General features: G+C 36.7%; 1 protein-coding gene across 17 annotated transcripts in view, besides 1 other annotated feature; it reads left to right on the top strand.

Moving 5' to 3' along the window:
- Window positions 1-21594, top strand: part of CLOCK (clock circadian regulator) — a 119007-nt gene that overhangs the window by 42143 nt on the left and 55270 nt on the right. For 7 of the 17 annotated variants that reach the window (XM_011534410.3, NM_004898.4, XM_011534411.3 and 4 more), the window contains one exon: window positions 15302-15393. The gene's annotated coding sequence lies outside the window, so the exon portion shown is untranslated. Of the gene's footprint in view, window positions 1-13539; window positions 13629-15301; window positions 15394-15566; window positions 18375-21594 lie in introns of those variants that run through there. The other 10 variants (XM_047416432.1, XM_017008854.2, XM_047416439.1 and 7 more) reach the window with 3 other exon arrangements.
- Window positions 5011-5305: an enhancer, noted in NCBI's record as "tiled region #12160; K562 Activating DNase matched - State 5:Enh". NCBI's record gives its function as "activates a minimal TATA promoter and a strong SV40 promoter by Sharpr-MPRA in K562 cells {active_cell/tissue: K562}" and the evidence as "EXISTENCE:reporter gene assay evidence [ECO:0000049][PMID:27701403]".

Genomic DNA, 21594 nt, shown 5'->3' with positions numbered 1-21594 from the left:
CTTTATATTAGCAGTATTTTTCCTGATTATCTCAGTTATTTTAATCGTAGGGTCATAGTTAAATACCAATAAGTATAATTTAGAACTTAAAAAATTCTTGAGTACAATTTACTAAGTTTTTATTGATCCTGTACTTTAATATGTTCAGTTCAGATTCATTAAAAATTGATTTTGTTCTCAGCTCCATAAAAATACTTTGTTTAAAAGTGGGTCTGGTTTTACTACCATATATTTATTATATTTTGAAGGAAATTCAAGAATAAGGGTCTGTTACATGTGTTTCTTAGAACGGTATTAATACAATTTTGAGCATTTACTTTGAGGCATTATATTCTAAGCACTTTACATTTAATATTTATTTCATTCTTATGACAACCTTATTGTGATACATTGCCTTGATTTGCTGAGTGTTTTCAATTCCAGCTAAAACTAAGCTTAGATGTGAAGCCTCAAGTTGTGTTTTTTTTTTTTTTTTTTTTTTTTGATGGAGTCTCGCTGTGTCGCCCAGGCTGGAGTGCAGTGGTGCGATCTTGGCTCACTGCAAGCTCCACCTCTCGGGTTCACGTGATTCTCCTGCCTCAGGGTCCCGAATAGTTGGGACTATAGGCGCCTGCCACCACACCCAGCTAATTTTTTTTGTATTTTTAGTAGAGACAGGGTTTCACTGTGTTAGCCAGGATGGTCTCGATCTCCTGACCTCGTGATCCGCCCGCCTTGGCCTCCCAAAGTGCTGGGATTACAGGCGTGAGCCACTGTGCCCGGCTTTTTTTTTTTTTTTTTTTTTTTTTACCTCTTTTTGCCAAATAGAAACTGTGGAAACTAGTGATCTGGAATGTAATAAAGAAAAATTGATTGTTTATAATTACACTAAGAAGAAGTACCTGCAGTGTTACAATTTTCTAGTTTGTGAATATTGGATAACTCTAGCTTCAAGCTAGACTTTCTGTTGACCTCATGTTATGGGAAGGATCCACATACCAAGACAATTCCTCAGTAATTGTGTTAAGAAAGAACGTGAACATGACTTTTAGTACCCACAAAGAGGCAGGCTGATGTAGAACTTAGCTTTACTAGACTTTTTAATTTCATAGTCAAATAACCAAAAAAAATTAAATTTAAAAAATCAAGGGACTGACATGATATCACTAACTTTTTTTTGTTTACTCTTTCATCAAATTATAACACACATATTATAAAGTGCATAAATCCTGAGTGTCATTTTGATGAATTTTTATGAAGTCAACACCCATTTAACTAATATCAAGAATAAGATATAGGACATTTTCGTCAACCCAGGAGCCTCCTTCATGCCCCTTAACAGTTATTACACACTCCCAAAGATAACTATTATGTGACTCATTCAGTATTGTCTATTTTTGAATTCTGTGCCTAGCCTTTTAAAATCTTGTTTATGACTCATCCATGTTGATGCATGTAGCAGTGGTTCATCTTTTCTGTTGTTGCTGTGAAATACTTCATTGTATGGATATGTCAGTATTTATTCTACTGTGATGAACATTTGGGGTGTTTCTAGTATTGGCTGTTATGAAGAATACTTCTGTGAACATTCTTGAGCGTGTCTTTTGGTCCACATGTGTACACATTTCTGTTGAGTAGACACCTAAGAGTGAAATTGCTGGGTCTTAAGGTATCTGGCTGTTTAGCTTTAGGAGATTATCCTAGTTTTCCAAAGTAGTTAAATTAATTTACATTCCCATTAGCAGTGTACAAAGAGTTCTCATTGTTCTACATCCTCACCAACACTTGAAATTATTAGTGTTTTTAATTTTAGCTCTTATGGAGCATATGTAGTAAAGGTCTATTGTAGTTTTAATTCGTAATTCCCTGATGATTTAAAAGGCTTAGAATATTTTCAAATGCCTGTTGACCATTTGAATATCCTCTTTGGGGATATGACTGTTATGTCTTTTGCTGATTTTTCTGTTGAGTTGGTTGTCTTGATTACCCCAGAAATAGATAATTTCAGTTGTTCAGTTGTATTGAAGATATCTTTCCTAGTCTTTGGCTTGCTTCTTCACTCTAGTAGTGTATTTTGATTAAGATAATTTCTTAATTTTAATGAAGTCCATTTTATCAAATTTTTTTATGGTTAACGCTTTTTATGTTTCATTTAAGAAATCTTTGCCTACCCTAAAGCCAAGAAGATGTTATCTATGTTTTCTTCTATAAACTTGACTGTTACAACTATTGCATTTAGGTTTATGTGTGATATATGTAAGCCTCATAGTTCATTTTATTTTCCGTGTGGAAGTCCAGTTGTTCCAGTAGTATTTATTGAGAAGATCATCCTTTCCCTACCGTAATGCAGTAGTACTTTTGTTGTAATGCAAGGGACTGTTTATTCATGGATTTATTTTTGGACTCTATTCTGTTGGTCTGTCATGCCATTGCCATACTCTTTTAATTACTGTAGCTTTATAATAAGTCATGATATCTGATAGTTTAAATCCTCTAATTTGTTCTTCAGAATTACCTTGGCTTTCGTGATCCTTTGAATTTCAATAAAAATTCTGCACTCAGCTTATAAGCAGTCCTCCGCACTACCCGCCACAAACCTGATTGGATTTTGTCTAGCTTAGTGTAGAATTTATAAATCAATTTGGAGATATTGGATGTTTTTCAGTGTTGAGACTTCCAATCAATTGCAAGGTTGTATGCCTTCTTACATTTAGACTTTTATAATTTCTCTCAGGGCGTTTTGTTATTTTACGTGTAAAAACAGGTCTTATATGTCTTTTGTTGACTTCGTAAGATATGATAATGATATTGTAGTTATGTTTTATAAAAGCCCTTGTAGTTTATACAAATATACTGGACTGTTTACAGATGGAATGATACAGTACTTGGGATTTGCTTCAAATAATCCGAAAGAGTGGAGAGGAAGGGAAGGAGCAGAACAGATGAAACAAGATTGATTAGCCATGAGTTGATAATTATGGAAACTGGGTGAAGGATATATAGGATTAATTATATTATTATTCTAACTTTGTGTATATTTGTAATTTCCCATAAAAATAGGTTTAAAAAAGTGTACTATGACTAGTCTAAAGGTAATGGGTTATTTCATTTGATTGTTCACAGTCCGTTACAGATTGAACTCCTTGTTCTACTCTTTCACCCTCTTCTCACTACTGCACTTGACAAATTTAAAAAAATATGTATAAGCCAGGCATGGTGGCTCATGCATGTAGTCCCAGCTCCTTGGGAGGCTGAGGCGGGAGGGCCACTTGAGCCTAGGAGTTTGAGGTTGCAGTGAGCTGTGATTAGGCCACCACACTCTAGCCTGAGTGACAGAGTGAGATCCTGTCTCTTAAAAAAAAAGACAGAAATTTTAATATAAATAAATACTAAAAAGTGTAATGATTATAGTACACTGAAATACACAAAAATGTAGTAATTCAAGAATTCATAATAATTGTTTTAAAAAACCCTCATATACACCAATTTATTATTCTGAAAATAATTGGTAAGTGAAAGGAAAAAGTCAACCATTTATTAATCTTTTTCTGTAGAGATTATATTCCAGGACTACCAAATAGTTAAGAGGGAAAGCATATCTTTAGAAGAATTGTAGCTATTAAGTAACATTGGAGGTCAGATGTGGTGGCCCATGCCTGTAATCCAAACACTTTGGCAGGCTGAGGTGGGAGGATTGCTTGAGCTCAGTAGTTTGAGATCAGCCTGGGCAACATAGCAAGACCTCGTCTCTTCTAAAAACACAAAAATTAGCCCTAGGCATGGTGGTGCATGCCTGTAGTCTCGGCTGCTGAGGAGGCTGAGGCAGGAGGATCACTTGAACCCAGGAGATCGAGGCTGCAGTGAGCTGAGATTGTGCCACTGCACTCCAGCCTGGGTGACAGAATAAGACCCTGTCTCAAAAACAAGCGCAAAAACAGACAAACAAACAGAAACACTGGAGAACGATCGGCTTACAAACTCACCACAGTGCATACTCCTAATGAAATAATGATTCTAGATAACAATTAGTCGTGACTACTAAAGCCATTAGGTGAAATTTAATTGGGAAATGGATAAAACATAATGGATAGGCAAAAGTGGAGTAAGCCTCTCTGATTAGAACTTAAAACCCCGGTTAGGCCGATGCTATGGCTCATGCCTTTAATCCCAGCAATTTGGGAGGTCACGGCAGGAGGATTGCTTGAGCCCAGGAGTTAGAGACCAGCCTGGGCAACATAATGAGATCTTGTCTCTGCAAAAAATTAAAAAGTTAAAAATCAATAGGGCATGATGGTGTGTACCTGTAATCCCAGCTACATTGGGAGGCTGAGGCAGGGAATTGCTTGAGCCCAGGAGGTCGAGGCTGCAGTGAGCTGTGTTCACACCACTGCACTGCAGCCTTGGTGAGAGAGTGAGGCCCTATCTCAAAACACACCACTCCCCCCAAACAAAACAAAAACAACAACAAAAACCCTCTAGATAGAAACAAAAACAATTATCTGAAGACTTTCGAAAGTAAACAGTAATAGGCAAACTGAGAAGGGAAGTCAAAACCTGAATAGCTTGTGTAGTGCTTAGCTTACCATTTTTTTTTTCTTTTTGTTATCCAGCTTTAACCAAATGGTAGGCTGGGTTGTAGAAGTACATGTTGAGTGCAGCAGTTAGCAAAAACTCCAAGAGAAACCCTTTATTTCTAGTCATAGGACAAAGAAAATTCCCCCCTTTTTTTCTCTCCCAGCTGTGCCCTGAGACCATCTCCATTTGTAAAATTACATTGCCATAGTGGTATATGTACTTAAAATCCCAAGAAGAAAGCCGTCTCTCTGGCCAGAGGAATTGGGAAAGAGAACTCTGGAAGCTGGAGCATGCTTTGGAAGTCTCAAAGAGAAGACACCTAGTTTGGGGGGAGATTCCCTAATTGCATGTATGAACACACAAAGGTCCTACCTACTGCATCCATGAGCTACACGTACATGGAACAGAGCGAAAGAAACATGGCAAAGACCTAGAGAGCTGAACTATGGTGTAAACCACTGCTCAAATCCCAGAGTTGCCCCTGAGAGATGCATGCGGAGGATAGATTTAAGCAGCATTGTGAACGCTTTGAAAACTGAAACAACGATTGGTACTGTGGCCTGTTAGGAACCAGGCCGCACAGCAGGAGGTAGGTGACTGGCTAGTGAGCATTAGCGCCTGAGCTCCGCCTCCTGTCATATCAGTAGCAGCATTAGATTCTCATAGGAGCGTGAACCCTGCAGTGAACTGCGAGTGCAAGGGATCTAGGTTGTATGCTCCTTATGAGAATCTAACTTAACAAGTGTGATGATCTGAAGTGGAACAGTTTTGTCCAGAAACCATCCCTAACAAGTGTGATGATCTGAAGTGGAACAGTTTTGTCCAGAAACCATCCCCGCTGTCCATGGAAAAATTGTATTGCATGAAACCAGTCGCTGGTGCCAAAAAGGTTGAGGACTGCTGCTTTAGAGGATGTTAATGGAACCTAGAATCTCATAACTTAATATCTAGAATGTCCAGGATATGATCCAAAATTACTTGACATACAAAGAAACAGTAAAATCTGACCATTTTTAAAGGAAAAAGAACATAAGCCAGTTGACAACTCTGAGATGATCCAGATGATGGAATTATCAGAAAAAAGCCTTAAAGTACTCATGTTCATGAGGTAAAAGTGAACACTTCTGAAAGGAGTGTAAAAATAGTTCTCTGAAAAATAAAAACTATATGAAATAATCAAATGGAAATTTCAGAGCTGAAAAATACAATATATGAAATACAGATGTACTGCATGGGCTCAGTAACAATGGAGATGACAGAAGAGTCAGTGAGCTTAAAGATGAATCAGTAGAAATCCCATCAGATCTCGTGTCTTCTGTATCAAGAGTATATGTCTGTTCTATAATATACTTGTTATGTCCATGTTGGATTCTGTGAAACCTGGTCACAGGCCTTCTGGCTGGTGGATTCTTGTACTACCTACACGTCCTCATTTATCCTATATTTACTCCTACTTACGTGATGCAAAGACCTATGCAGTTTGAGCCCCATCTCCCCTGCCACTCCACAGATTGAGATATGGTCTTGGCCTGCCATTTTCCACACCTTGTCATTTTAGGGTAAGGATCAAACAGTCAGTGGGTTAAAATAATAATAATAATAATAATAAGGAACTAGATAGATCAATTTTTTAAATTTGAAAGCTTTGAAAGTAAATAGGGACAGAAAAGCAGAAATGGGTAACATATGTATAAATTATATATTGCAAAATCTTCTAGTTCAAAGGGATTACATTTTTTCCTAAATATAAACTTAGATATAATGATTATTTTAGTGAAGAAGACATGCTTTATGGTAGTTTTTTTCTGAATTATCTGTGGTTCAGGATGCATCTAAACTTCTTTGAAATACTTTTCAGATGATTTTGAATTTGCCGGGCCTACTTGGCTACACAAAAGCAGCTGGCAGTTTACCCGAGTTTTAATAAGTCAAAACAACTGTCTTTTCAGTGAAATGATTATTGCACAAAGGGGAATACTTGTGGCCTTGAAAATTGATGCATTTTTTGGTGGTGTTTTAAGTGGCTCTGGTGACCTCATAGATGTAGTACATAATATGTCAAACATTGTCATTATATTTATACATATTAGTTGTATGTTATTAAACAACTCATGAATTAGCTCTAAACCTAGCATTGTCAAAGTACTACTTAATAATCCGATTTCCTAAGAGGTCCCTAGAGGATTTATAGTACTAATGAAATTCTGTACTTCTTTTAGGTTGCTAAAATTCTGTATCTCTTTTTTTTTTTTCTGGAGATCCATCTCAGAAATCTATATACATTTGCCCTTTTAAAAAATAGGCTTCTACAAAGTCTGGGGTTTAATTCATCTTTTTTGGACAATCTGTTTAGTGCATATAAATTACATCATATGTGTTTATGGTGTAACAATTAGTTTTCCAAAAGGGGAAATATGTGCTAGTATTCATTTGGACATTGACAGATTTTTCCGTTCAGAAGAATATCCCTAGAGCCTGTTGCTACCATATAGCAATAAAGTTAGACTTTAGTTACAGTTGAACGCATGCAGCCTGAATTGTCATACACATTATTTTCCAATTCCCTTTAAGAAATATGAAAGGTTAAGATAGTTCAGAAGTTAAGAACTACTGGCATAGTACTGTAGTCTTTTATCTATTAATAGATCAAATTATCCTTTGATGTTTCACCTTTCCCCTCAAAAAATATTTGATTTTGTCTTTGCCAAACAGAGACTTTTTGGTCCATGGTACGTGGTAGGCAGAATACTGACCCTTCAGAGAGGTTCATATCCTGATTCCTGGAACCTGCCACTATGTTAGGGTACATGGCAAGGAATAATTAAGGTTGCTAATCAGTTAACCATAAAATATGGAGGTTATCTTAGATTATCTATGTGGGCTTAATGTAATAAGGGAAGAAAGAGGCAGAAGAAATGGCAGCCCGAGAAGGACTTGGCCTCCTGCTGGCTTGAAGATGGAGTAGAGGGAGCTATGAGCTAAAGAATACGGGTGGCCTCTAAAGCTTGAAAAGGCAAGGAAACATTCTCTGCTAGAGCTTACAGGAGGGAATTCAGCCCTGCCAACACCTCGGTTTTAGCCCACCTTGATTTTAGCCCAGTGAGACCTATATTGGGCTCTCACCAACAGAACTGTAAGATAGTAAATTTGTGTTGTTTTAATCCATTAACTTTGTGATAATTTTTATAGAGGCCATAGGAAGCACATAGTACCTCTTCAGTTTTTCACTAATAACATAAAGTTTATATCATGATTAGTTGAATCTTGATGTGAATGACAATATGATTTTCTGTGAAGGTCAATTCCAGTTTATTGTATTAAGATATTTATGTTGATAATATATTGGGTACTGGTGGACAAACCTTTGTTTTACGTAGAGGTCTTTATTTTCTACTATCTAGGAATGGTGACGTGATTCCTTAGTGTAGCTGGAGAATAAGGAGTCTGTGTACAGTAAAGTAGAATGGGAAATGAGGAAGGAGAAATAAGACTAAAGCTAGAAAGGAAAATTGGTGTCTTGGAATGTGATAAATAATCTTCAGAAGCCTTAGAGCCCTGAACAAGTTTTTCATTATTTGCATTATATGTGTTTGTGTTAGTAAATACTGTAAATTGGAATTTTAAAAAGTTTTTATAGTCAGCACAACTTGAACTATATTAAAGTGGTAAGCAATCATTACATTTTGCCACAGAATAGCTTATCAATATGATAAGTGTATAAAGGACTCAGTGGTCAAAAGGAAGGCTAGAGTTTAGAGAAACATGAAAAAGAATGAAGCATTTCTCATAGAAGGTAATTAACAACATAACCAATCATTGACTGTCACTATGTTTAGTCTTCCCGACCATGTCAAATAAACTTGCTTTACTCCCTTGTGCCTTTACTAGGAAGAGAAACTGAGGCTCCAACAAAGATTATGAGCTGGCACAGTTTTTTTTTTCTTTTTAAAGACCCAACATAAATAAGTTAGAGCTATATTGTCAGTTTTTTTGTTTTTGTTTTTTGATTGTTTCTTTTTTTTTTGAGACGACCTCTCGCTCTGTCACCTAGGATGGAGTGCTGTGGAGCAATCTTGGCTCAATGCAACCTCCACCTCCCGGGTTCAAGCGATTCTCCTGCCTTAGCCTCCCAAGTAGTTGGGATTACAGGCGCCTGCCACCACGCCCGGCTAATTTTTGTATTTTTAGTAGAGACGGGGTTTCACCATGTTGGCCAGGCTGGTCTTGAACTCCTGACCTCAGGTGATCCACCCACCTTGACCTCCCAAAGTGCTGGGATTACAGGTGTGAGCCACTGCGCCCAGCAGTTTTTTTGTTTTTTTAAAAAAAGTTTGTGTTTTTTGTCTTTTTGCATCAGGTGGATCACATGCTATCCCAGTTTGTGAGAGAGGGCTTAGATGCTTAAAATTGAGGATACGGAGGGTCTTTTGGATATTAGTAATGGTGAATTCTGGGGTAACACTAGCAGAATGAGTGGGAGGTGGGGTGGAACACAAAATTGTTGCAGAAGAGATCAAGGAACTCACTGGCCAGTTTTGGGGGATCATTTTGTGTACATTGAAATTCAAAAGAGGTATTGGAGAGGGTCACACCCTTCGTGGAGTGAAGGGGCTTATCCTGGGGTTTGTGAATGACTACAATAAGGAGGGGATAATAGCTGATGTAGTCTGGTGGCATGAGAGTCAAAGCTAAGGTTTTAGGGAGGGAGAGAATAATTCAGAAATGACAGTGAGTTACAAGGAAGTTCACCCCACCAACAGGGCTTGGTCATCTGAGATATGGGAGAGTAAATATATTTTATCTCACATGAGAGAGAAGCCATTGTTTGAAAGGGCTGGAGTTAGAGCAGAACTCCCAGAGGGGAGAGAGGTTACAGCTGGGAGCAAGTAAGGTGAAGAGTGTGCAACAACAATACTGAGGAAATAGGATATTTTAACGACGATGTGTACCATGAGTTCCAGAAGACACTGCGAAAGGATTTCGGGAATTGGGGGAGGAAGAGAAAAGGGGTCAGTGTAGGGACATACAGAGTATATAGGGATGAAAGTATATAGGGATGGGGGATGACTTGGGAGTCTTGGGCATTTCTTGTTGACTGATGTAAAAAGAATGGAGGGCATAATGGGATTCTCTTTGATGATCTCCTATGCAGGTTGCTGTAAATACTGAAAGGGAAGTGTTGGTGAGAGCCAGGTTTATCGAGAGAAACCGGATTCTGTATAGTTTTCTGTTGCTACCATACAAATAACCACAAACTTAATGGCTTAAGACAATACAAATTTATTGTTTTACAGTTCTGCAGCTCAGAAGGCCAACACAAATCTCACTGACCTGAACCCAAGGTGTCAGCGGGCTGCATTTCTCTCTGGAGGCTTCAGGAGAAAATCTGTTTCCTTGTTTTTTCCAGCTTGTAGAGGCTACCTGAATTCCTTGGCTTGTGGCCACCTTCTTTCACTTTCAAAGCCAGCAACTTTGCATCTTTTTAAAAGAATTATCATTTCAGTAGGTTTTTGGGGAACAGGGGGTGTTTGGTTACATGGATAAGTTCTTTAGTGGTGATTTCTGAGATTTTGGTGCACCCATCACCTGAGCACTGTTCCCAATGTATGGTCTTTTATCCCTCATCCCCCCTCCTATCCTTCCCTTCTCCCCGAGTCCCCATGGTCCATTGTATCATTCTTATGCCTTTAACTTGCCATCTTTTTGACCGTTCTTTCTGATATATCAAACCACAGCTAGGAAAGGTCCTTTCCTCTTAAGAACTCACGTGATTATTTTGGACCCACTTGGATAATGCAGGATAATCTCCACATCTCAAGATCCTTATCCTTAATCACATCTGCAGTGTCCTTTTTTGCCATGTGACATAACATCTTCATAAGGTCCAGGGAAGAGGGAATGGACATTCTTCGGAGGCTGTTATTCTGCCTACCACAGGGCTCCCTCTTTCTTCCTGCTGGTGTCAGGATGAAGGCCAGGTGTAGAGTCGTATAGCTTCAGGTTTATGGTACCTGATTACATGTGAAATTCATTCTGAGGCTTGTGCTCTCCCTCCACCTTCAGGTTTTATGTGGGGCTTACTTGGGGCTGAGGACAGATGTAGGCCTTAGTCTTATCTCTGAAAAGGGGATAAGGTGCTCCTATACTCTGTGGGCAAGATCAGTCTGTTATATGAATACAAAGCTCAGACATTACTTGAAAAATATATATTAGTTGAATCGTTGGAATAGTATTGTCCCACTAAGAGAACTGTATTAATTTTTTAGTTTTTGTTTATTTAATGAGGTTTAGTGAATATCTTACATCTTGACATTCAGCAGGCTAGAGTTATAGTGTCAGTTGATGTTTGTCTTGAGCCAGAATCCTCTCTGGTTTTAAGAGGTCTGGTTCATAAAACTGGTTTGGGATGTGGTTCTTATTCTTACAGGTCAGTTTTCAAATTTAAATTGATTGTAGAGATAGCTGTAAAACCAAATATGTGTTTTATTTTGCCAATATCTTATATCGGTTGTAGAGGTGGCTAATACATTCAATATTGAATAAATTGAGAACCACTGTTTAATTTCATTTTTTCCTCGTACATTAAACAACGAATCTAAAAAGTATTAAATATTTGGGCCTTTCTTTGCAAGTTAAAATAGTTTTTCTCTTAGAAATAATTACTGTTTCAGTTATAATACAAAATCAGTAATCTGCAGAAGCAAGTTAGAATTTTTCATAAGTGGTAATAAAAGTAGTTAAGGTTTGTTCCTTAGGTTTTGTATTATACCGGTCAATTAAATTTCAGCACTACTTTTAATTAATGTTAATAGATCCGTCAGTTCCCGAAATACCTGTGGTATCAGAATTAACAAACCTAAATTCCAAAGTAGGTCAGTGGGTCAGTAGGTTATTAGGTTAGGGAAAAACTGTAGTTTTAATTTTTAAAATTCAAATTCCTGAGTTAGCCATTTTTAATTAATAATTTTAAAATTATTAACTAGATGAAACTTTGTTTTCTTTAAATGGCTAGAAAAATAGTCTCTGTTAAGTTTTTGTTCTCTGGAATAGATAACAGGTTGTGTTTTATCTTATTTGCCTCCTCATGTATAGCTAGGCCTCTAGTATTGGACAATTAAAAGAAAAAGAAAAAAAATGCAGCACTTAAGCTTTCTGATTATAAAAGTAATGCATGTTCATGGGAGAAATTTTAGAAAGTACTAAAGAAAGAACAAAAAACACCATCCATAAACTACCTAGGAGCAATCACAGTTGATACTTTTGCTATATTCAGGTTTATGTCTGATATATTTTCATGCCACTGTTAATGCAGTTAGACATTTAAATTTGTTCTAGCTTTACTGTTTTTATTTTATTTTATTTTTTTTAGAGACAGAATCTCGCTCTGTCACCCAGGTCAGAGTGCAGTGGCGCTATCTCGGCTCACTGCAACCTCCGCTTCCTGGGTTCAAGCGATTCTCCTGCCTCACCCTCCCGAGTAACTGGGATTACAGGCGTGTGCCACCATGCCCAGCTAATTTTTATATTTGTAGTAGAGATGGGGTTTCACCATATTAGCCAGGCTGTTTTTGAACTCATGACCTCAAGTGATCTACCCACCTTAGCCTCCCAAAGTGCTAGGATTACAGGCATGAGCCACTGTGACTGGCCTAGCTTTATTATTTTTAATAATATCTCAATGAATATAAAAGTTTAGATGCATCTTTGATTATTTTATTATTTCTCAAAGTGAAATTACTGAGTCAAAGGGCATAATTTTCAAACCAATTTATTTTTTAAGAAAGAGAAATTCCTCCTTTTCTTGGTTTATAAATTCCTTCTATTCCTAGTTTGTTGAATGGCGTTTTTTTTTTTTATCATGAATAGGTGTTGGATTTTGTTAAATGCTTTTTCTGCATCAATTGAGATCCCTCATACGATTTTTATCCTTGGTTTTGTTGATGTGGTGTAGCACATGGATTGGTTTTATTAATATATGTTGAACCTTGCTCAAATCCCAGGGATAAATACCACCTGGTCATGTGGTATAATCCTTTTAATTTACTGTTGCGTTTGGATTGGTAGTATTTTGTTGAGAATTTTTCATCAATATGCATAAGGAATATTGGTCTATAGTTTTTTTCTTATGGTGTCTTTGGCTTTGATATCAGCATAATGCTGGCTTCATAAAGAGTTTGAAAATGTTCCCTTTTCAGTTTGTTGGAAGCATTTGAGGGGGATTGGTATTAATTCTTTCAGTGTTTGGTAGAATTCTTCAGTGAAGTCATGTATATGGTCCTGGCTTTTCTTCATTGGGAAGTTTTTGATTCAATATAATTACAAGTTATATGTGTCTGCTCAGATTTTCTTTTTTTATTTTATCATTCTGACTTACTGATTAATTTGTCTATTCTTAAAAAAACTATGTACTCTCTTGTAAAGTCATCTGTGCTGTTGCATGCAGTCTTCTCTTTGTTGTATAGCATTCCATTATATGAATACCACATTTTGTTTATCCATTGTACTGTCAATGAACATCTGGATTGTTTATAGTTTTAGACCATTATGAATAAATCTGCTGTGAACTCTGTTCACATTTTTCTATTCATGATTCAGCCTTCGTGGTAGATGGCATATTTCTAGGAATTTATCCATTTTTTCTAGGTTATCTAATTTGTTGGTGTATATTTATTGAGTTGTCTCAAAAAAATACTTTTTTATTTCTGTGACATCAGTTGTAATTTCTCCTTTTATTTCTGATTTTGAGTCTTCTCTTATTCCTAGTGTAGCTAAAGATTTGTCAATTTTGTTAGTCTTTTCAAAGAAACAACTCTTAGTTTTGTTGATTTTTTTTTTTTCCTATTCACTGTTTTATTTCTACTCTAATCATATTTCCTTCCTTCTGCTCTCTATGGGCTTTGTTCTTCTTTTTCTAGTTCTTTGAGGTATAAAGTTGCATTGTTTGAGATCTTTCCTTTTTTTTTTTTTTTTTTTTTTTTAGCACACCTGCAGGAATCTTTCTTCATTTTTAATGCAGTCATTGACTGAAATAAGATTCCCTGTCAGAACACTTTTGCTGCATCCCATACATTTTGGTATGTTGTGTTTTCGTTTGTCTCAAGATGTTTTCTAATTTCTCTTTTGATGTCTTCCTTGACTCTTTGGTTATTCAACAGTGTGTTTAAATTTCATCTGCTTATGAATTTTCTAGTTTTCCTTCTGACATTTCACTGTGATCAGAGAAGATATTTAGTATAATTCAACCTTAAATTTGTTAAAACTTGTTCTGTGCCCTATTAGGTGATCTGTCCTAGAGAACGTTCTCTGTGTACTTGAGAATAATGTGTATTCTGCTGTTGTTGGGTGGAATGTTTTGTGTATGTCTGTTAGGTCCATTTGGTCTATACAGTTGGCCTTCTGCATCTGAAGGTTCCACGTCTGTGGATTCAACCAACTGTGGATAAAAATATTCAGAGAATAAAACCATTTACAAATAATACAAATTTAAGAAACCAATATAGTATAACACCTATTTACATCACATTTACATTGTATTATGCATTATAAGTAATCTAGAGATGATTTAAAGTATAGGGGAGGAGGCACATAGGTTATAGGCAAATACTACATCATTTTATATAAGGGACTTAAGCATCTGCAGATTTTGGTATTAATATTTGGTGGGGGGTCCTGGAACCAGTCCATGTCAGATAACAAAGGATGACTGTACTGATACACTGTTTAAATCTATGCTTTCCTTCTTGATTTCTCTTGGATTATCTGTCCATTATTGAAAGTGGGGTATTGACATCTCCTGCTACTATTGTATCTGCTGTTTCTCCCTTCAGTTCTATTGATGTTTGCTTAATATATTTGGGTCCTCTGATGTTGGGTGTATATATATATATATTTATAATTGCTATATTTTCCTAATGAATTGACTCTTATTACTATATAATGTCCTTCTTTGTCTCTTGTATTTGACTTTACATCTATTTTATCTAAGTATGGTCACTTATACTCTTTAGGCTGCCATTTGCATGGGATATATTTTTCCATTCTTTCACTTTCAGCTTCTGTTCTTAAATCTGAGGTGAATCTTGGAGACAACATGCAGTTGGATCTTTCTTTTTTTTTTTAAATCCATTCAGCCACTCCATGTATTTTGATTGAGGAGTTTAATCCATTTACGTTTAAAGTGATTACTGATAGAGAAGGGCTTGCTGTCTTTCTTGTAGTGCTGTTGTCCCTCTTTTCCTTTCCTCCTGTTTTTCTCTGTGTTTCTTTCTTTCTTTCTTTATTTTTTGTAGTTGTGCTTTGACTCCCCTCTCATTTTCTTGTGTCAGTCCTCACATGTGATTACCATGGGGCTTATATATAAAAACACCTTATAGTTAAAACAGTCTGTCTTAAGCGTATAACAATCTAACTTCAATTGCATATAAAAATGTAACTTTCTTACTCTTCCCTTGTTATTGATGTCACAATGTTATCCTTTTATGTTGTATACTCATTAACATTTTTATAGTTACAGTTTTTTAATACTTTTATCTTTTAACTTCTGTACCAGAATTAAGTGATTGTTTTAGTTTATTCATGTTTTAAGTTATTTTGTTTTCTTTTAGAAACAATTTATAGAATTTAAAATTGGTTATATACATTTTTGTGACAGTTCTAAATTTTATTTTTAAAAATTATTTTAAAACCCTTTTAATGATAAACTTCTATGTAAGTTGAATAAATCTAACATTTTTTCTTGTTTAAACAGAATTCTGAGACTTATGGTTGGTCATATAGAAGAGTACCTTGAACCTATAGTTTCCTGAAGAATCAGTTTAAAAGATCCAAGGAGTACAAAAGGTAAAGAAAGGTGCATCTTAGAATGCATCGTAAAATGATATTTTTCCAGAAAAATAAAAGAATTCATCAACTATTTTGACACACTAATTTAAGGAAAGTTTAATTTAAAAAAATTTTTGTGTGTTAATTTACCACCAAACGTAGTACCAGCTATGTTCCGATAATTACTTTAGATACTGGGGATTCAGTGATGAACAAGACAGAAGCTGTCCCTGCTGTCATGAGAACCGCCTTCTAGAAGAAGAATAATACACAAGTGAGAAACACAAATAATACACAAGTGAGAAATTTGTGGTTTGTACTGTGCAGAGAATTAAAATGGATAAATGGATAGTGTAAGGCTGGGCACTGTAAGGCTTGTGCCTGTAATCCTAGCAGTTTGGGAGGCTGAGGTGGGAGGATTGTGTAAGCCTAGAAGTTTGATACCAGCCTGGGCAACATAGTGAGACCCCATCTCCACCAAAAATTTAGAAATTAGCTGGGCATGATGACGTATGCCTGTGATCCCAGCTACTTGGGAGGCTGAGGCAGGAGGACTTGAGCCTAGGAGGTTGACGCTACAGTGAGCTGTGATTGTGTCACTGCATTCCAGCCTGGGAGACAGAGTGAGACCTTGTCTTACGTGTACAAAAAAAAGGATAATGTGGTAGAGACTGGTGACTGCTTTCATTAGGCAGTCAGAGATAGCCTAATTGAAAAAGGGGAATTTTAATTGAGATCGGAATGGCAAAAGGAGCCAGCTGTGTGAAGATCTGAGAGAAGAGCTTTATAGATAGTGAGAACAAGAAAGACAATGAAATGTTTGAGGAACATAAAGAGCATAATGTGACTGGAATACAGTAAATGATGGGGAGAATATATGGAGATCAGGTTGGGGGAAAAAACTGGGAGAGAAGCAAATTTACAGAAGAAAGTTAAGTGTTCTGTTTTAAGTATATGACATTTTGGACACCTTTAAAATCTGTAGAAATGTCTAAAAAGCAGTTGGATATCTGACTGCATTTGACAATCTATTCTAGGGGTGTGGATTTGGGAGTCATTGGCATGTAGAAGTGTGATTTATCTAGGAAGTGTATACAGATTTAGAAGGATTCAGCCCTGGCACATGCCAGTATTAATTAGAGGAGAAGGAGCAGCCAGCAAGATGAGTACAAAAGCAGGAGAATATTCTGTCACTGGAATCAAGAAAAGAAGGTATTTAATAAATGCAGAAGTGGTCGTCTACATCACATATTGCTTAACGGTCAAATAGAGAATAAAACAGCCATTAGACTTGGCAATATGGAGATTTGGGATAACTAATAAGAGTGAGCAATTTGAGTGGAGTGGTGGGGATGAAAGCCTAATTAAGAGTGATGAAAGAATATGGGAAACTGCTAGAGATGGCAAACAATACAATTAAATTTTATTTTCTCTTGAAACCTCACTGAAGCTAAAGTAAGAAGATTTTTACGAAAGACATAACAGGACAGAGAGAATGGAGAAGAAACAGTAGCAACAAAATTTGGGACTGCAAAAGGGAGCATAGTAACTTTCTTGCAAATCCCAGGATCCTAAGCCTGCTGTGGGAAAGCTGAAACAAACTTCTTGGCACTGTAGAACCTCTATAATTTTCATGAATTGAAAACTATTTCTGGAAATAGGAGTGATGGTGGAACTAAAACAGGATGATTTGTTGCAAATCTGTTTAAGGGGTAATTATATTCCATGGATCCTTTTCTTAACTTTGGAACCAAGGCAGCCACCTTTTTCCTATCTTAGCAGAAGTCTGGAGATTTATTCCCTAGTAAGGATAAAATAAAGGAGCCACAAACATGGCTGAGAATGGGGGTGACATGTTAAAAATAGAAGGGTTAAGAACCCAGGGTACCAGGTTTTTATACTCTTCAGGCAAGAGTTGAGAAGATACATAATTATTTTCTCTGAATTATAATCATCTTAAAAGATCTAAAGATTCTGACATTGAGAATTCCCCAAAGAAATATTTCAACCTGATAGCCCTACAGTAAAGTTAACAGTCAGCAAGCTGTATCACACAGAGCTTCAGTTTTTTTAGCGCTTACCCTTAAATGTGAGCTCATGTTCAGAGATCAGTAGACAGCTGAGGAAAAACCTCTTATGTGCAAGACAAAGGCCAAACCAAAAGGTAAAACACCAAGTTAGGGGAAATGGAGAGCAGTTAGGTGGGCGAAAATTAAACACAAACCTTACATAAAGGTAAGAGGGATGCTATATCCATGAAGTATGAACGAGAAACAGTAAGAAATGAAATTAGAAATGAAAAATTCATTGGAAAGGTTGAAAAATAAAATCTATTGAAAGTAGAGCAAAGAGCCAAAGAAATGGAAAATGGTAGAGAAAAAATAAGAAAATTACAACTGTCCAGGATCTCCAATGTTCAAATAAGTGCTCCAGAAGGAGAGAGAGGAAACAGAGGGGAAAAACAAAGAATAGAGAACAACTCGAGAAAACTCTCCAGAATTAGAGGACATGAGTTACCAGTTAGGAAAAGCCTGTTGAGTGACCAGTACAGATATAAAAAGCCAAAACAGGGCACATCACTGTTCAATTTTAGAAAACAAGGGAGTTTCCAGAGTGAAATAAATAACAGGTCACATCTAAAGGATCAGTAATCAGAATGGCTTTGCACTTCTTGACACCACACTGGAAGCTAGAAGATAGTGGAGTCTTCAGCATTCAGAAGGAAAAGTGATTTTCAACCAGGTATTCAGTATCCAACTAAACTGTTGATTAAGGATAGACTAATGACAGTTTTAGACTTACGAAGCCTTAAAAAATTTACCTGTCATGTCCCCTTTCTTAGGCAGTTATTGGAGGAATTACTCAACAAAAATAAAGAAGTAAACTAAAAAAGATGAAGGCATAGGATACAAGTAACAGGGAATATGACCTAACTAGAGACCCAGGGAATCACCAGGATGATGATGAATAATGATCACAAGAAGACAGCTTGTCCTCAGGTTAGTAGATAGTTTCCAGTCCCAATAGAAACAGGTTGGAAGATTTCTAGAGATACTACTGTGAGAAGGTGAAATTGGTAGAATGTGTAATGTGTTTGAAGAAATAGTAGATACAGACAGGGAAGAATTTGTAGTTAAGTTGGTAGTAAGTATAAACAAAACTAGGTAAACAACAAAATGGTAACTCTAGGAAAAACTGCTCAAAAGGAAAAGTAATTATAGTATACTATATGGCTTAGCTGTGAATTGGCATTTACGGAGTCATAATGATGTTAACTCCAAATATAACCACCTAACCAAAATTATGATATTGAGAAATTGGGGAAATGTGCATGTGTATGAATAAAATAGTAATGTGATACATGTTGAGCTGGGAAGTCATATCACCAGATGACTCTGATCTCAAGTTGCTTAAGTAAAGGAGCATTTGATTCCTAGCTGTAACTTGATCCTTTATAGTTGGGGAACTTTGTTTTTTGGAATTTTTAATTTTAATTTTAATTTGTGTGGGTACCTAGTATATATATTTATTTATGGGGTACATGAGATGTTTTGATAAAGGCATGCAATATGTAATAATTATGCCATGTAAAATGGGATGTCATCCCCTCAAGCATTTATCCTTTGTGTTATAAACAATCCAATTATACTATTTTAGTTTTTTTAAATAAAACTGGTGAATTTTGGATTCCAGTAACTGCAACTGATCCTTTTGAAGACATTGCATATCTTTGTGGTCTAATGTCGAACTTAAAAAATAATGAAATGTATTCTATATTAGATTATATGTTTGACATTCCACTTCAGCTTGTGTAGGGAAGTGGCATGGCATCTGTATCCTTAGACTCCACAGCATGGACAAGTGTGACTCTAGCTAGTCTCTTTCTGAATTGAAAGCGTGGGACTTGCAGTAGTCTGCAAACAAAGTATTTTGGCTGTTCCACCTTACCAGTTTGTCTTGTTAAAGTTAATTTGACACCATTTTTAAAAGTTTAGGGAAATCTTCTAACATTTGCTCTAGGGTGCATGTCCAGCCTATTTTACTTACTCCTTTCCCTTAAGTAAAATGTGTATGTCAATTGGCTGGAAAGATGAAGATCTTGTGCTAGACTGTTAAGAGTTATATCTGACCGGTCATGGTGGCTCACACCTGTAATCCCAGCACTTTGGGAGGCTGAGGCAGGCGGATCACCAGAGTTGAGGAGTTCGAGACCAGCCTGACCAATATGGTGAAACCCCATCTCTACTAAAAATAGATAAATTAGCTGGCTTGTGGTGGTCTGGGCCTGTAATCCCAGCTACTCAGGAGGCTGAGGCAGGAGAATCACCTGAACCTGGGAGGCGGAGGTTGCAATGAGATGAGATCGTGCCACTGCACTCCAGCCTGGGCCACAGAGGGAGACCCTGTCTCAAAAAAAGAGAGAGAGAGAGAGATCTTACGTTGTTCTATTAGCTGGACGACAAATAATTTTTGGAAGAATATTGTTAACAACAATAGTAAAACAGCCTAATAAAGCATCAGCCTGCATCTTCTAAACTATATTGGATTCACCCTTCTAGTAGTCAGCAAGGCTTTTCCTGTAGTATAACCCTTAATTCTTGGCGTTGCCTAGTCCCCGCCACCACCCCCTGCCCTTTTTTTGGTAGTTTGTCTTATTTTCTACCTTTTGATAATTAAGCCATACTTACTGGGTGCCTTATAAGGCTCAGATCTGGCCTTTTGAACTTTTTACTCTTAACAATTCTTTTTGAATTCACTGAAATTTGCCCTATTACTTTTATACTGTTCTTCCTCTTCTAGTGATAGAATCAGCCTCACTTCTTACCATGAAGATAAATATGTCTGTTGGACCAGAGAAATGTACTTAGGTGGTCTTTAAATTCTCTTCTACCTCTAAAATTCTGTAGTTCTGTGTTCCATCTGCTGATACTACCTCAGACACTTAAAATCACAACTTTTCATCCTGGTGTTAGTCCTTTTTATTTTATTATTTCTATCTTTGACTCTGTCACTCATTTTCTTTTAAGAACTCTTAGCCCTGGGTATGGTAGCGAGCACCTGTAATCCCAGCTACTCAGGAGGCTGAAGTGGCAGGATTGCTTGAGGCCAGGATTTCAAGGCAGCAGTGAGCTATGATCATGCCACAGCACTCCACCCTGGGCAACAGAGTAAGACCCCATCTCAAAAACAAAAAGAAAAAAAAATATTCTGAGCCCCTCACAGTTCTACTTCTGCAGCCATAACCATACAGGCAATGCAGCAATGTTGCCAGGGTTATTCTCCTTTCCTTTCATGAAGGTGCATTTGAAAACAGTGACTGAATGTTTAGAATCTCACGTTCTTGTAATATCTTTAATCTTCTCTGGTTTAGAAATGCTCCGTTGAGCATTTCCTTTGAATGTTGAACATTATGTTGATGCTCAAAAGCTTTCAGATTTTGGAGTATTTTGGATTTCAGGTTTTCAGATTAGGGATACTCAACCTATAGAATATAGAGAGACAAATTTTAGGCTTGTGATCCAGCTTTAAAGCAGTAAGTTTTACTTCCTTCAATTTGGGTATGAGACTCTTTATAGTAAGACTCTCCTGTACTTGACTTGCCTTTGCCAGTTTACCACTTGTATTCTCAAACTTTATGGTCTAGTAATTATAACTTTAAATTGTAACATCCCAGGTTTTTCATAAGGAAAATGCTAAACCTCTTAGTTTCTCAAATACGATATTCTTTTGTCTCACTAAGGCCTGTGCCTTTACAAATTGCCATTCCTGTCGCTTAAAATTCTTTCACCTATTATCTGTTTCTGTCCTCCAGCCTGTTGCTTCTCAAACTTAAGTGGTCATACATTATCACGTGGAGCCCTTGTGAAAATGTAGATTCTGGTTCATTAAGATTTTGCCTTTGAAAACAAGCTCTCAGAGGATGGTGATGCTGCCCATCCCTGCACCATATTTGCATTAAAAAAGAATTTTGACTCCCTGACAGACTTACTGTCATCAAGAATATTTCCTCGTTTCCCCTCTCTAATTCCCACGGGTAGACATAATTGTTCCTTGCCCAGTGATAGCATTACACAGTATATACCTTCATTATACCTCTTATTATAATTATTTAGATATCTATCTTCCTGCTCAATTGCAAATTTTTCCTACAGGGACTGTGTCTTTCACTGTTATGTGCCCAAAGCCTGCTGTACTGTTTAGCAGAAAATAGGCTTTCAA

Source organism: Homo sapiens, chromosome 4 (genome assembly GCF_000001405.40).
Source record: "Homo sapiens chromosome 4, GRCh38.p14 Primary Assembly".
Lineage (NCBI taxonomy): Eukaryota > Metazoa > Chordata > Mammalia > Primates > Hominidae > Homo > Homo sapiens.
Note: the sequence above shows the minus strand (reverse complement) of the source record. Positions and strands in the feature narration are given on the sequence as shown.